Here is a 16,144-nt window from a genome sequence, read left to right on the forward strand (position 1 = left end):
ACCTGAAGAAGATAATGAAATTGAGATTCCAGAACTAAAGGTCTTTGCTTTCTTCAGCGTCAGATGTTAAGTAAATGTCCCAGCCTCTGCTCAGAGAGAAAAAAAGTATTTACCATCTTGAGTCCACAACTGGCAGTTACTATGGAGAGCTTTTATCTCTCTCTGCATCCCACCTGAAATTGGACCTTGGTGCAGTTTTTCTTCAAATTCACTTGCTTATTGTCTGGGATGTTTTCTTTAAGACCAGAGAATGTTAGACCATCAAGACTGGAAGGGACCAATATGGGGTCCCTCTGTGCTAGAATAATCTCCCCAAATTGTTATCTAGCTCAGGTGTGCATGAGGGCTGCCTCTATGTGGCTTCTTAGGCTGTGGCTGCATGACTCCAGGCAGGGCCATTCATACAGATGTCATGTGAATGGTGCCTCCAGGGTTGTCAGTGGCAGAGCTCTTTATGTGATGGAGGCTTTCTGTCCACTCTGCCTTTGGAAAATCTACTTGTTGAGTAAGCTAGATTGCTCTTTCTATACCTCCTACACATTAGTATTATGCTTGGCTCTGTGTGTTGGGTAAAACCAACTCTCTTCTAAGACAGATAGTGGTAATGCCCACTTTTATATAGTTTCTTCTTCTCCAAGTCAAACATTCCCAGTTATCCCAACAATTCCTTGTGAGCACTTTCGTAATCTATTTTTGCTCTCCTATGAACTATGTCATCACCTGCCTTGAGTTTCTTTTCTTGAGGGACCATGAAAGACAGTGATTCTGTGAAACCATTAGGTTTATGGAGCCTTTATTCTGTGTTAGACATTTCCACATTAATTTAGTGATTCCTCCCAATAATCCTGGAATAGCTCTTATGAGTTTCACTCTTGAAATGAATTATCTGAGGTTCAGGAAGTTAAGGTGACTTGTCAAAGAATAAATTGCAAGTGCTGAAGCCAAGATTTAAACCATTGTGTCATAACAGCAAGACATTTCTTGTTTTGCTATCCTACACTGGTCCTTCTCGACAGTACGCCTTCTACTTTAATTGTTACCTCTGTACTCTAGAGGTAGTTCATGGAAAGGGTTCATAGTGTTTGGTAAAATCAGTTTTCTATAGAAATCAGGCTGATTATTCCCTTTCTGGTAGTGGAAGTTCCTTTGTCAGCTACTGATTGTTCTGGACTGTGATCTCCAGGATGAAGTCCCTGGAGAGTGGGTGGAGTCGCCTCCATCAGCAATTGCAAGACTCACTGGGAGGCTGTCTGGAATCAGGTTTAGGGACTTGTTTGTGAAATATGGGGTCCTACCAGTCACAGAACTTCCACAGAATCCTTCAGGGCTGCCTACTGATTTTGAGCCTAGGGATTTCATGGCTCATGAGGCAAACCCAAAGTTCTGGTATTCCAGACTTGGAAAGAATACCAGATTCACCAAATTCCTAATAATTAACAACTCCACTAATGTGTGGAAATTGATGCATATAAAATCTACTGATGAGTGTTAGCATGGGCAAGGACAACCCTGGTTTCACCTATTGCTCCCACCTCCTTTAGCCTAATGGAGGTGGGTCTAATGGAAACTGAGAATGGAAGGGAGTCCTAGAGTACTGAATTTAAGGAGATGCTCAGGACCTTAAGAGCAGGAGTTTATGCATCTTTACTCCAGAGCACTGCTTTTACTGTGATTATTCTGTGCTTCAACTGTCTGCTCCTTTCTAATCCTCTGTCAAAGGAGTTTCCTATTGTTTTAAAACCTTCTCTGCTTTCTCATGAATTTGACTTATACATTGCTGTGGCTCATCACCTCATGGAGGTCCATCGCCTTTAGTTCTGTTGAAATAGAAAAATTATTTCAGGGTTTCTTAATTCAAATCTCTTCAAAAGAGATTTTGATTTATCCAGCTGCTTTTTTGGAGTGGCCAGTACATAAATTAGAACGTTGAAGGTATGTAGCCATCCTACATATTAACTCTCTACTGTGTTCAAAGGGACCATACATGACACAAAACATGGCTCATGCCTTCAGCCTGGGTTGCAGTTGGGGCTGACACAATGGCATCTCTTCTGGACTTGTCCTTATTGTGACCATGACTCATTTTGGAACTTTCTAGTATAGACATCTTGAATTCTCACTCCAATCTACTATCCTATTCTATGACTTAATAACTCTTCTTGAGGTAGCATTTTACATGATTATTTAGCCACGAGTCCTTTTTGGGGGGGGTGGGCATGGAAATTTTGAGGTATGTAATCTATGCTTCAGGACATGCTTGACTAGATGATCTTCCAGTACTGTTTCTGCTTTGTCTGTCTCTGAATCATAAGATTATAAATATGGGCCAGGTGTGGTGGCTCATGCCTGTAATCCCAGCACTTTTGGAGGCAGAGGCAGGTGGATCACCTGAGGTCAGGAGTTTGAGACCAGCCTGGCCACCATGGTGAAACTCTGTCTCTACTAAAAACACACACAAAAAATTAGCCAGGTGTGGTGGCCTGTGCTTGTAATCCCAATTACTTGGGAGGCTGAGGCAGGAGAATTTCTTGAACCCGGGAGGTGGAGGTTGCAGTGAGCTGAGGCCACACCACTGCCCTCTAGCCTAGGTGACAGAGTGAGACTTCGTCTCAAAGAAAAAAAAAAAGATTATAAATATGTTTCTTTGAGGCGCTTAGAAGATTACTTTAAGTGATTCAATATGGGAACTAAATAAACCACAGATTCAGATTTCTAAATAATCATATGCTTTACAAACTGATAGCTATGTCTCACTACCTATTAGGATTTATGTTGTTATGATTGGCCAACCACAGTACCTTTTTTTCCTAGAAGGGCCATACCTTTTAGTCCAGCCCTGGACATGTCCCGTTGGACTTGCATAACTTTGTTTATGCAGCCTGAGAATAGATGCTGTCATACTCTCTCTGATTGACCTCTTTTGCCTAGAGGGATGCATTCATCTGTCAGCTTTCTCCTGGAGAGTGGTAGCTACAACTTGCAATGTCCCAACCATGAACGTCAATGATTTTCTCAATGGGAAAACCTACACAATAAGAACATTCCTGGAAACCCCAAGCTTATCCGTTAGTTTCTGTGCCCATATATGTCTGATGCCCTACATTTGGATGTGGCATTATGTCAGGCAAGCATCTGAGTGACTTGTTTTTCCAGTGTTTAGGGATCACTCATTGTGCACATGGCTGTCAGAGTGGGCTCAGCAAATCCTGACACACTGGTAGTGGTGGCTCACTATGCTCCTCTCAACACTTGTTGAAAATACCCACGATCACCCTCAGAGACCCAGGACTTATGGACACACAGAACCCTAGAGTTGGAGAGGACCTTGGTGATGTGGTTCTGTGGTTTTCTAGCTATGTTCCTCAGCCTCAGCTCTGGAAGAGCTGTCTCAAGGAGACACAGCAGTGGGATGTGAAGGGAAGGCTCAGCAGGTGGGTGCTGCCATTTCAGCCTCAGAATTCTTATAAACAATGAGGTGCTTCATTTCATTTTGCTTAGAAGCAGGGCTCTACTGTTAAAGAAAATTTTAATGCACCTGGTCTACTATATTTTCTTCATTTTGCAAAAGAGAACAATGAAGTCCAGAGAAGTGACTTTCACCCAGTAAGTCAGAAAACATTCCCTCCCAAGTCAATCTTGATGGGACCTCAACACTAGTGTCCCATTTGGTGCCTCAGGAAAGGCAACAGATTCATGAAAGTACAAACCAGAACTAACAAGTCCAGGATGGGACCATGGGGGTGGGAGGACTGCTGCAGGACAGCCAGAGGCTAGGAGACACTTCCCAACTCATTACCCCCCTCATTGTACTCTCTCTTCCTGTAACAACCATTTCCACATTATCTTCTCAAAAGGTTCTTGTTGCAAATAGCTTTCTTACAAATATCACCAGTGGGGACAACCTACTCAGAGCTGGCTAGCTCATTCGCAGTTCATGCTTTGAGCAGTTGGTGATGGTGTTGTATAGGGGGGTAATAATATAACTCTATGCCAACTATTGTCCCCTGCACTTGACATATTTGTTCCTGATTATAGCCTCTGCAAAGTGTGCCTTTCTGTGCCTGTTTTATGGAAGACAGAACTGAAGGCTGGGGAAGATAAATAACTTATCTAAAAGGTCACACAGATAATGTTTAAATTATGTTCAAAAATTGGAAAGCACATTGAATAGTCTCTGGAATGTATTTTATTTCCAAGCATAATATAATTATAGAATTTACATTACCTCATAGGGAAAGAGCTGGTCCTTGTGCTCCTGTGAAGAGCTTCTGTGAAGAACTGTTAATATTTCTTCTGTTTCTGAGCAGGTCCAAGGAGAATGAGATTGCTGCTGTGAGAATCTGAAACCCACAAAAAATGCAATCACCAAATCTTCTTCTGGCCAATTTTATGCATATGCTAGAAACCCACCTTTGAACCCACCCCAGCAGGTAGCAGGGCCAACAGTACGCCTAGTTTTACACAGCATTGCTGGGTAAAATTCAGAGCCTTGGACCTCATAGGTCCTCCAGGTGCCCAGCTGTTTTGCCTTATTTCCCAAACAACCCAATTAAGACCATCTTGTTTCTGAATCACTGAATTTTCTGATCCAATTGTATCCTTGGGTGGTTTTATCATTTTGTCTACATCACCTAAGATGATGCTTATGTATGAAATTGGTAATGATAAATGAAAGAGAGACTCTCTCCTTTTCTCTGCAAGTCACTGTGATGATTTACCTCCCCTTAGTGGGGGTTGTGTGAGCCCAGTCTTGCCTGCAAACCATAAATTAATGAGTATGACAGGGCTTCCAACTTCTGGGAGAAGCCTGTTACCTTCAGTTAGAGCTGACTACAGGGATATTAAATCCTCCTTTCTCTTCATCTAGGTAGGCAAACATTGGGTCTGGGGATGAAAAGGCTCAGGAGGGTAAGTGGCAGACCCTGAATGATATACTTTCCCATGCTTCTCTGTTGCTCTTTGGGGAATGAGCACTGTCACCTTCATGCCACTTCCTTCAGAGTTAGAAAGAAATGAGATGATCCAGATCTATTAGATTGGTGCAAAATTAATTGTGGTTTAATACTTTGACACATTACAGATGAGGAAGCAGACCCAGAGGGGTTGTGTTGTATGTCTTGCTTGAGGTCACACAGCTTCTCCAATGCCAGCTAGAGGTTGTGTGGGATGGTCAGAGTGGTGGTGAAGGCAGTCAGGAGGAGGAAACTGGGACTTCCGGCTGCAATGGGTTTGAGCAGGTTGGTCTCATCTATTAGCCTGGATTCTAGGAAGCCTGGCTGAACTCCTCATAGGCTTGCCTGTCCACATGGCTTACCTGTCCGTACTATTCTGTGCGGAGCCTTAAGCACCAGGCATTCTTCAGTTTAATCACCTGCCTTCTAAATGTTCCCTGGGATAAGCGTTCAGTTGTACAGGATATTTAACTTTGACATAAAGAAAAGCTGCTTTGAGAATTGAAACTTGAAAATAGCTAAGAGAGTAGTTTTAAATATTCTCACCACAAAAATATTTATCATAATTAACAATAACATATGTATTGATATACGTATGCACTGTAGAACTGCTAAATCAAGCTAATTTACTTGCAATAACAAAAATGTTATTTATTGTGAGACTTTGGGTAAATAATTTAATTTCTCAGATCTAAAGCAAATAAAGCAATTCCTAATTCAAGAGGATATTGTACAAATTAAATAAAATGAATAAGATGTAGCCAAGCACTCATCTGGTATATGCATGTTATTAATAATTAGCTGGATTTAGTAGTTCTACAATGCATACATATATCAAAGCATGATGTTGTACACCACAGGTGCGTACAGTTTTTGTCAATTAAAAATAAAGAAAAGGAAGGCTGCTTTAATGGTGGAAAATCAGTCAAAACAACAGAGCAGGGAAAAGCCATAACTGAGGAGGAGTCTCCTAACTTCCCTTGAATCCCACTATGTTGTTGCCAAGGAAAGAGAGGTGTGTGCCACTGTCTGACATGGGCGTCGAACCCATGACTCAGGCTTCCATGCTAGTTTAGGGGTGCAATGGGGGTCTGCATATCTGTTTGTATTTTTAAATGAAATATAATACATATACAAAGAAGTACCTTAAAATGAATACAGTTTAATAAAAATCTTTAAAAACAAATACTCAGGCAATTGCTATCAGACAAAGATAAATAGAATACTTCCTCTCTCCAGAAGTTCCTATGAAGTTCTCCCCTTTCACAACTCCCCTTGCTCCTATATCTTGGCTGTGGTTATAACCATTTACTTGTGTGATTTAAAGCTTTGTCATATGTGTATATATCCCTATATTGTGACTTTGTTTAGCCTATTTTAAAAATTATATTGTTTCTAATTACTTTCTTTAATAAGATGAATGTTTCCTTCTCACATAAAAGAAGCCCGAGGATAGGCAGCCCAGGGCCCATAGGGTGGATTAAAAATGTCATCAGGGACTTAGGCTTCTCTTTTTCCCTGCTCTGCTGTTTTCTATGCATTGCTTTCATCTTTAAGGTCAACTTATGGTCCACAATAGCTGCCAGGGCTCCAGCCATCACATTCATTCCCCAGGCCAGAAGAAAGAAAAACCGAAGGAAAGTGTTTTGAGTTTTGTGCTATTACAACAATGCTTCATGAACATTCTGTACCCATATCCTAGTGTGCATGGGCAAGAGTTTCTCCAGTGTGTATAGCTAGGCCACTGGAATAGCTGGGTCACTGGTTATATATTTTTTATTTCTAAAGGATTGCCAAATTGTTTTATAAAGTTGTTAAACCCATTTATACTACTCATTTTTCATATCCTTGTCAACACAGTGGTATCATAGTTTTAAATTCTTGCTAACTTAGTGAACTTATTATGGTTTTAAGTATGCATTTCCTGATAAAATTCTTACGAGAATGATGCTTATTATTCTCATTTCCTAATGAGAATAAGCAGCTCTTCATACATTTAGTAGCTATTTGGATATTCTTCACCTTGGTCAACCTGGTTTTCTATTCTGAATCTCTTTTACATGTTCAGCTTCACAATGCTGATGGAAAATTTTTATTAGCTCAACATGGGTCAGGTGCTTATTTCTGAATCAGTCAACTACAAGATATTTGGTGAATTATTTTAATAAAATTGTTGTTTCCATATGGAGAGGCAATGAGGATCAACTTTTCATAAAATCAAAGCTGGGTAGAGGAGTTCATATATTCATAAAATAACATATTCACTTACAAATACATCCTTTTATTATTCTTGACTATGTGGGATATAGATACATGCACTCCACCTTTCCAGGTAAGTACTCGTTTGTTTTATTCCTTGGTGCAAAGGATTGAGTTATACATCTTCCTCAGTTCATTGCTTTCATTGACTTTTATCATCATTGGTTGGTGATCTATTTTGCTTTTGTCAGTGGCCATTAAATTCTAGCAAGGGTCCAGGGTTGACATCAGAAAGTGAGGGAAAGGGAAGAGAAGATAAGAGAGCAATCTATATTGAACATCTGATTAGTGCTTGGCTATTTCTTATTCATCATTTTATTTAATTTTTACAATATCCTCTTGAATTGGGAATTGTTATACTTGTTTTAGGTCTGCAAAATTAAATCATTTACCCAAAGTCTCATAATAAATCAGTGGTGGAATCAGGATTCTGATTCAAGCCTGACTCCATCCCTTGTCTACTGCTGTATACTCCGAGTACTCTTTGACTCATGAGGAAGTACTTCCTTAATTGCAAAATGGGAATTTTACATTAAACTATGTTTTTCCCATTTGCCATAGAGTTGCCAGAAGGCTCAAATAGGAACAAGCATGTACCATACAAATTCTTTCAAAAGGCTTTGGACTCAATAGTGAAGAAAACATTCTGTTCTCAAGGGTTTTACAGTCTGGTACAGGAGTCATGATTACTTCCCCTCTCACCAGATCTTCATTAGAGAAGGTAATATGGGGTTCAGTTGTCTTTCTATTTATCTGTTGGTGCTCTCTGATTTGCTCTTCCTGGAAATGGGTTGCTTGGTAGGAGAGAACTGTTCCTGAGACACGCAATAGGGTGAGGAGGAGAAGCAATGTACCATGGCCTTCAGAAATGAGAGAGCTTGAGGAGACATTCCCAAAGGTAGGATGGTTCATTTCATCTTGAAGATACCAAAGTAACATTAAAAAAAGGAACAACAAAACCAGTAAGGTACCAAGTGATAAGGAAAATTTCAAGTTCTATTGTTCTGGCCTGAGCAAGAAGGAAGACACTCTAAGCGGGTGACACAAGTCTCTTCTGAAGAGAGAAGTTCATTTCTCAAACTTCCTTCCCTTGGCCAGTTGGAGACTGAGTTTTTCCTTATACAATACTCCCTGCTTAGTGAGGTGATCAGTCCTTCATATTAAAAGAAAAAAAGGCCAATTTGTGCAATTCGCAGAGGTCCCCAGATATAATCTTTGACACAGAGATAAAAGTGGGATTGATGGGAGCAAAAACAAGAGGGAAAGGATGGCAAGCCCAGGCATGAGTTGAGAGAGTATTGGGTTGGAATGAAATAAACTCAAGACTCCTGGGATCTGAGATTCTATAAGTTGTGACATTAGAGAATATTAAGAGACTGCCCAGTGCTAAGGAATGGATTGAAAGTGGAAGAAGGGGATAAGAAGAAAGAACATGGAATTGCTGGAAACTAATTTCACCACAATTGTAGTTTTTCCTGTGTGCCTGGTGGTACCTATCTTCTGTCTTCTCTGTTTGTGGGTATAGGTTGCATATAGTAATGGTGCCTATTAGGATATATTCATATGGGAAGAAAGTGGACTAAAACAAGAATTCCTCTTACTTAGATCTACATGCTCAGGGACACCTGGAGTCTCCTAGCGACCTTTCTGAAGGCGTCTTTTACATCTTTGTTTCTTAAGCTGTAGATCAGAGGGTTCAGCATGGGGATGACCACTGTATAGAAGACAGACACGACTTTGTCTTCCTCCAGAGATTTGCCTGAGCCACTTTGCAGATACATGAAGATAAGGGCTCCAAAGAAAAGGGCCACAGCAGTGATGTGAGAGGCACATGTGGAGAAAGTCTTGGCCCTGCCACCTGAAGACTTCACTTTCAAAATGGTCTTGATGATGAGCAGATAGGAAATCAGGATGACGGAGGCATTGGCCAAAATCACAAAATTGCCAAAGAAGATGATGACAATCTCGATGTTTGCTGTGTCACTGCAGGCAAGCTTCAGCAGGGGTGGGAGGTCACAGAAGAAGAAGTTTATTTGATTGTCCTTACAGAAGGAGAGGGTGAAGGTGCAAGTGGTACGCAGGATGGCTCCTGACACCCCACAGACATAGGCTCCTACCACCAGGCTCCAGCAGAGCCTGGGATTCATGGCCACGGTATAGAGCAGTGGGTTGCGAATGGCAGCATAGCGATCATAGGCCATCACTGCCAGCAGAAAGCACTCTGTGCCTGCACAGATGGTGAATAAAAAGAACTGGGCAGCACAGTGGCCGTAGGAGATGACCGTTTTGCCTGTGGCCAATGTGGCTAGGATCTGAGGGGTGATGACTGAGGTGTAACAGGCATCCAGCAGGGAGAGGTGGCTCAGGAAGAAGTACATTGGGGTGTAGAGTTTGACATCTACTTGGATTAACATAATCATCCCCACATTCCCAAGAAGGGTGACTAGGTAGAAACTCAGAAACACCAGAAAGAGGGGAATCTCCAATTTGGGGTGGTCCATAAAGCCCATGAGAATGAATTCGGTTACTCTGGTGAGATTATTCTTGGCCATGGAGACAATGTGGACTGTTGGTCTGAGGATGATAATGAAATAAAAAGAATCTCAGAATTGAAGGACAGAATCTTTCCCTCTATGGTGGAAGTTTTGGTTTTAATTCTGGGTCTATTTGTAGAGTTTGTTTTTAAGAAATTCTGAAACTGGCTGATTTTCCTTGGGCATCTCTTGCATTTTATGGAACTGAGCCTTAAGCTGGTATTTCTGATTCAAACTAATCCTAGTTTACATTTGGAAATTTCTGTAAAGATAAGAGGCATACAATTCTTAGGTTTGGAAGAGACCTAGACAGTATCTGTTCCAGTCCCATCTGGGGCTGGAGTCTCACTTACCATATACCCACCACACGGTCACTCAGTTGCCGTATGAGCCTCCATCTGCAAACAGTTCCACCTGTTGATTCTCTTTTTGGACCTAGGGTTTCTCCTTCTGTACCTTTCACACACTGGCCTTAGTTTTACCCCTTCTAGATACAGCAATTTTAATCACTTCTTCTTATGAAAGCCTTTCACAAGTTGGAACTGATGAATCTGCTCTTCCTGCCCACCATTCCCTTATAGTACACATTGATATATTTTCCGTCTTACTATATAATTATTCAATGGGCAGTAAAAAAATTGCCTAGTCGAATAGTATTAGCTGATAACAAAAAGTCTTTCTTTCTACTTTAATCATCACCACCCCAGCTCAGGGGCCATCATCTTCAACATATTGCATTTTATATTTTTTAGTTACTTATACATCATGATTATAAATAATATGTTCAAACTCGTGGACTTGCTACTTTTTTATGACCTTGGGTAAGTTAACTAACCCCTTTGTGCCTCAACTTTTCATAAAATCAAAGTTGGGTAGAGTTTATACATTGTCCAAAATCAAAGTTCATACATTCATAAAATAACATATTCACCTATTTGTAACATAGAAAAATATGCTTATGTCATAGGGGTCTTTTAATTTTTTTAAGGAAAAGAAAATTTATTATCTTTTTTTGAATTTGAATATGTTTTTATTTTTTATTTTCATAGGTTTTTGGGGAACAGTTGATATTTGGTTCATGAATGAGTTCTTTAGTGGTGATTTGTGAGATTTTTGGTATATCCATCACCCGAGCAGTATACACTGAACTCAATTTGTAGCCTTTTAAGTATTAATAAGTTAATACCTGTAAGAAGTGTAGATCAGTACCCAGCACATAAAGCTAAATAATGTTGGCTACTTTTGTTGTTGCTATTATCATCAATTTTAGTTGGTAGCTATTGATTTTCTGTACTGAAACATAATCCATTTAACCCGCATGAACTTTGTTAATATTGCTATCTTTGTGTAATATATTTGTATCTTTATTTCAATACCATATATATATATATATATATATATACATATATTCTTGTTTTTTGACTGAGTAAATTTGACCTTCACTAAGTAAGATGAAGAAATTATTCCCTTGTTCTTTTCTCTCTTCTCCCTTCCACCCCCTTAACAAAAAAATCAGTCTTTTATCCCATTCATATGGGAATGCTTGCTAATTTAAGTCTTCTCTATATTTTGACTACGGGTTGATTCTACTATCAGTAATTTGTGTTTCTCTATTATGACTATGTACATGCCATACACAAAAAGACTAAATATTGTGATTGGATACACAGAAAAGGAAATGTCATTAAACTTCTGCTTCTGGGAGAATCTTTCAAACATCAAGTCAAATAAATGCTCCTTTCTTTTGATCTAACAAATTGGTTAAAATAATTATGTTTAGTTTGCTTTATATTTGAGTCATGGAAATTTTGCATTTCCTAAGATTTCCTGTTGCCATATGGTACAGATTTGAGTCACCTCGTAATACTGCATAATACCATGTTCCAAGTCCATCCAGGATACTCATTAAAATGCCTAAAGCCTTCCTTGGGAGAGTGTGCATGGAAGCCTAGGTTCCCATCTCTTTTTTTTCCCAAAGTCATCTCTACTCTCCCAGGACCTGCCAGAAACCTGGCAACAATCCTACTGGACAGGTGACATTAGTTTGTTTGTGTTTGAGAAGTGGAGATTGGAGAAATGAAACCATCCGTTGACCCACATGTAGAGGAGCCAGGATCCACAACCAAGTCTCCAGATTCCATTATCCTACACTGCTCCCCTTGAACCATTTGCCTGGCCTCCTTAATCTTACACCCCCAACTTCCTCAGGTTGGAATCTGCCAATTCAGAGTCCTTGAATCTAGAACTATGTTTGATGAAGCCATGAATATAGAAATTAGATTGTTAAGAAACTCTTTTCCTTGTAGCACAACTGGGAATTTTCTTTGCTGTGGCAACATGGGGATTGCTATTTTTGATAAAATCCATAGTAGTAAAAACTCATCATAATACCTCTTTCTACCTTCTTTCATACATTTTATATCCATAAATGTCTGTGATTGCCTCCACACCCCTGTAAAGTTGACTTGATTGATATTGTCATTATTTTGGCATTGAGACAACTGACAGAGGTTAATGACTTGTCCAAAAGTCAAATAATTAGCTATTTGCAGACTTGGGGATAACAGGCAGGTCCTCTGGCTTCCATGGGATCCCTTTTTTTACTTCTCTTTCACCTAAGGTCTAATTCCACTGGGACCTGCCAGGAAGAGGTTTTGAACTTGTGATGAGGCCCCATCTCTAGAATCATTGTGACTGCTTTATTCACTACATGGGTAGAGAGAGACAAGCAGCACACACTTTCATGAAAGGGCTCATGGTAGCTGTTCTTGGGTCTGGAGCTTACTTCAGCTCTAATCAGGGTCCTAGTGGGAGAGAGACATTGACAGATCACGTCAAACATGTCCCAGGGCTATTCCATCCACCTTGCTCCAGCAGCAGGGTCTGGGGACGAGTCAGCTTCTTTGGAAGGCCTTCATGGTATGGTTCAAGCTCTGTGGTTGTCACCTCTATGACAGGCACTCACTAGCTGAGTAAACTTCAAACGTTTATTTTCCCTTCAACATGGACTTCGCTTTCTATTCTATGAAATGGCAGAGCTAGGTTATATGACCACTGAATCTTTTGTTTCTCACAATCCATGATTTATATGTCTAGGTATTTAGGCTCTGTATCTACTAAATACTGAGTATATAAAGCAATGCAGGCACTATTTCAAGTGATTTATAGTTACTTAAACATAATATTTTGGGGCCTTAGGTAGAAAATTGAATGGCCTTTACTCCTCAGTTCCTGATAAACCATCATCATTGGTCAGGGCAAGGCTCTTCTTCATTTTATTTTATTTTATTATTTTTGTTAGTCCTGCCTCATTCTTACTCCTTCCCCTGTTCCTCTTAAGTGTGCACTCCAGTGTATTCAAAATACATATCCTTCTATGTTTATTCTTTTCATATTTATTTAGAAATATATGTATATTAAAATATAGTGGCTGTGGTGTGTTTTAAAATTTGTGTACATGATATTGTGACATAAATCTCATTTTTTAGCATACACCGTATTTTTGTGATTTGTTTATGTAATTGTGGTAAATTTTGTTTTTTTTTTCGGATTTTGTTATGGTCTTGCTTGGTATGCTTATAACATATTTTACTTATCAATTCTACTAGAGACTGTGAGTGCTTTGCATATATTATTTAATTCTGAAAGCAGCCCTTTAAGCAGATATTATGACCTTATTTTTACCAATGAGGAATTTAAATCTTTGGGAGATTAATTTGTCTAAAATTACCTCCAAGTGAAAGTAGAAGCAGAAGAGTTAGTTGATGGCAAATCCTCTGCTTTCAGCTATAAATTTGTTTTGTTGTCTCCCTCCATTTTCCTATATCTTTATAATCTATGGAAACAAAGAAATCTCCCTGCAGTTAATCAGAGCTTTTTTACCTTCAAATCATGAGATAACTTGGTTAATTTCAACACCTTTCTCAGTATCTACTTCTGAAATTGTTGTAGGTCATATTACATCTATCTCATGGCTAATTCCTGGGGGTCTCTCTGATTAGAGACACAATTGTTCAAGGCTCCTGACCAGAGATTAGGTGGCAGATTGTTGGGGTGCAGATGCAATCACACTGAGTTTGTGGCACATGCATGCAAGGCCTGTTTCATACATTAGCTCTAGTCCTTCCTGAAGCCCTCCAAGTTGGGTATAGCTATGACTATTTTATGGATGAACAAAGCAGAGTTCAGAGAAGTTAAGAAGGTTGTCCAACTTATTATACACCTAGGAAGGAACAGAACAGACATTTGAACCTAGGACATTCTAATTCCAAATTCTGTATTCTTTCCATCTTATCATGTTCTCTTTTTAGGGCATGAGAAAGACCCTTTATGCAGATCCAAGCCCCAAACCTTTAAAATCAAAGCGCCTCTCTAAAACCATTAGGCAAATACTCAACTTCTGTGGGCATCAAGTATAAAGATTGATGTTGGAGTTCTTTGTGGTCCATGTTTTTTCTTCTTTTTCTTTCTTTATAACTTGAGAGAGACTTAGTTGGACCATATCCCTCTTGATATACCCTTGGAAAACTGCTCAACCAATTGGAACCTCAATTTTTTCAATAATAAAATGAGAATATAGTAACGATTCTTGAAATAGAATGGATGTTTATCTAATATGGTAGAGCTTGCTTATTTTTCAGACAGGCAATTTCCAAAATATTTCCCAGAGGGAAAAATTTTAGGAGCAGACTGGTGACACCCAGTTTTGTGTGATCTTGTTTAAGAAGGAGATTGGGGTACCATCAGCTTGGGTGAGGCCAAGAGTAGAGAGAAACAACCAACTCCCCGAACCCAGGACAGTTTATGAAAGGGAAAGCAACGGTTTATGGCCAGTGACTCTTTTAAGAAAGCCTAGGAACATTTATAGGTTGATATTATTACTTGTGATATATTTAAATTATAATATGTGACATAAAAGAATATGTGACCTCTGGAGGGGATAGGGAAAAAGACTCCTCTAATTCAGGAGGAACCCTTTACAGAAGAGATGGTCCCTAACACTTGTACTTACTTTAACTTGGGATGTTCTCCATACTCTTCTTCATTTTCCTCCAAAGATTGAGTCCCTTGGGGAGGGTGAAGGAGCTCAACAAAGTTAATGTTTCTCACCTTACTGAAATCAGTGTCTTGAAATATTGTTGTTAACATTTGCTGAGCTCTTGCTCCAAGTCAGGTAGATGCTAAGCACTTTAAAGGCTTTTATTTCCTTTCAACTTGACAATAACATAATGAGAGAGAAATATTTTATTTTACAGATGAGGAAATGAAGGTTTAGAGACATTAGATGTTTTGCTTGAGGTTTCACAGCTAGAAAGAAAATATGTTTAAATTCTAACCCTGGTTCTCTGACCCCAGAGTTGGAGTGTTGAATCAACACGCTGTGCTGCTTTTCCTAATCCTGGCAACCATTTATCGAACATCTTCTCTGCGCTGATCACAATACTATGCATTGTAGACACATTAGTTCATATAATTCATACAATGATCCTACAAAAAAGGTATTATTTTGTCCTGGAAGAGACTAGGACTCGGAATAGTTAAGTACCTTGTCCAAGGTCACATGACTAGTCAATGAAAAAGCCTGGAGTCTAATCCAGGTCTGTCTTATTCCAAAGCCAGAGTCCTAGTACATATGACTAATTCTACTCCAGCATAATTACAGAAAGTAGAGTCATTTACAGGAAAATATCTTGTCTAAGCTCTGCAGTCTAGTACCACGCCTCCCACATGAAACTATTTATATTTTCTGAAATCTACTTAGTGACACAAAAGCCCAAAGAGATTAAAGCTGTAGATTCCCCCCTTACCCACCGCCCCCCCCCCAAAAAAAAGCTGATCCAGTCTTACTTGTATATTTCACATAAGAGCTGAAATCCCAGTCTGGTCATGGTCCTATCAGATGACAACTTCTGATGACAAAGGCAAGATTCTCTGCCCAGTTACACCTTCTCTAGTTTGTGTGGACCTTACTTCAGAGCCAAGGTAATAATTAAGTCTTAATTACCTGGTGGAATAATTCAGTTGGATTTATCTTGGCCTTGTAGTCAAGCTAAGCTAAGGTTGTTTAAGCATTTTGTAGAAAGCAGCTAAGATTGCTCAAATAGACGTATGTAGCTGACTGACTTTAGGTTTTCTTCTTACTAAGCAAACCAGTGGGATATTTAAATTGCCTTTGGGGATAGTTTTATGGGAGGGATGCAGTGATCTCAGTGGTTTTCCTTGAATCATGAATCAGGACCTGGGACAGCCCCTGGGACTCCAGAGAATAGCCGGCCCGGTCAGGGAGACCACACTTCAGCAGAGGCTCATTATCTCAGCTTCTGCACACTTCTGAGAGAATAAAAACAAATCTTATGGGAGCTCATGAAAACTCGTAAGCCTTGTTTGTCTCAAAGCTCA

The 16,144-nt window shown here is 39.6% G+C and overlaps 2 protein-coding genes across 2 annotated transcripts in view; one reads left to right on the top strand and one right to left on the bottom strand.

The window, feature by feature from the left end:
* OR9Q1 (olfactory receptor family 9 subfamily Q member 1) overlaps nucleotides 1-16,144 on the top strand; it is a 157,736-nt gene that overhangs the window by 85,801 nt on the left and 55,791 nt on the right. The gene's annotated exons all lie outside the window — the stretch shown is intronic.
* Nucleotides 7,061-15,849, bottom strand: OR9I1 (olfactory receptor family 9 subfamily I member 1). Its single transcript, NM_001005211.2, has 3 exons — nucleotides 15,593-15,849; nucleotides 14,757-14,958; nucleotides 7,061-9,785 (listed from the first exon to the last, which is right to left on the bottom strand). The coding sequence occupies exon 3, from the start codon at nucleotides 9,761-9,763 to the stop codon at nucleotides 8,819-8,821; it is 945 nt and encodes a 314-aa protein (NP_001005211.1). The 5' UTR covers nucleotides 9,764-9,785; nucleotides 14,757-14,958; nucleotides 15,593-15,849; the 3' UTR covers nucleotides 7,061-8,818.

The sequence above is a fragment of the Homo sapiens genome, chromosome 11 (assembly GCF_000001405.40).
Source record: "Homo sapiens chromosome 11, GRCh38.p14 Primary Assembly".
In the NCBI taxonomy this organism is placed as follows: domain Eukaryota; kingdom Metazoa; phylum Chordata; class Mammalia; order Primates; family Hominidae; genus Homo; species Homo sapiens.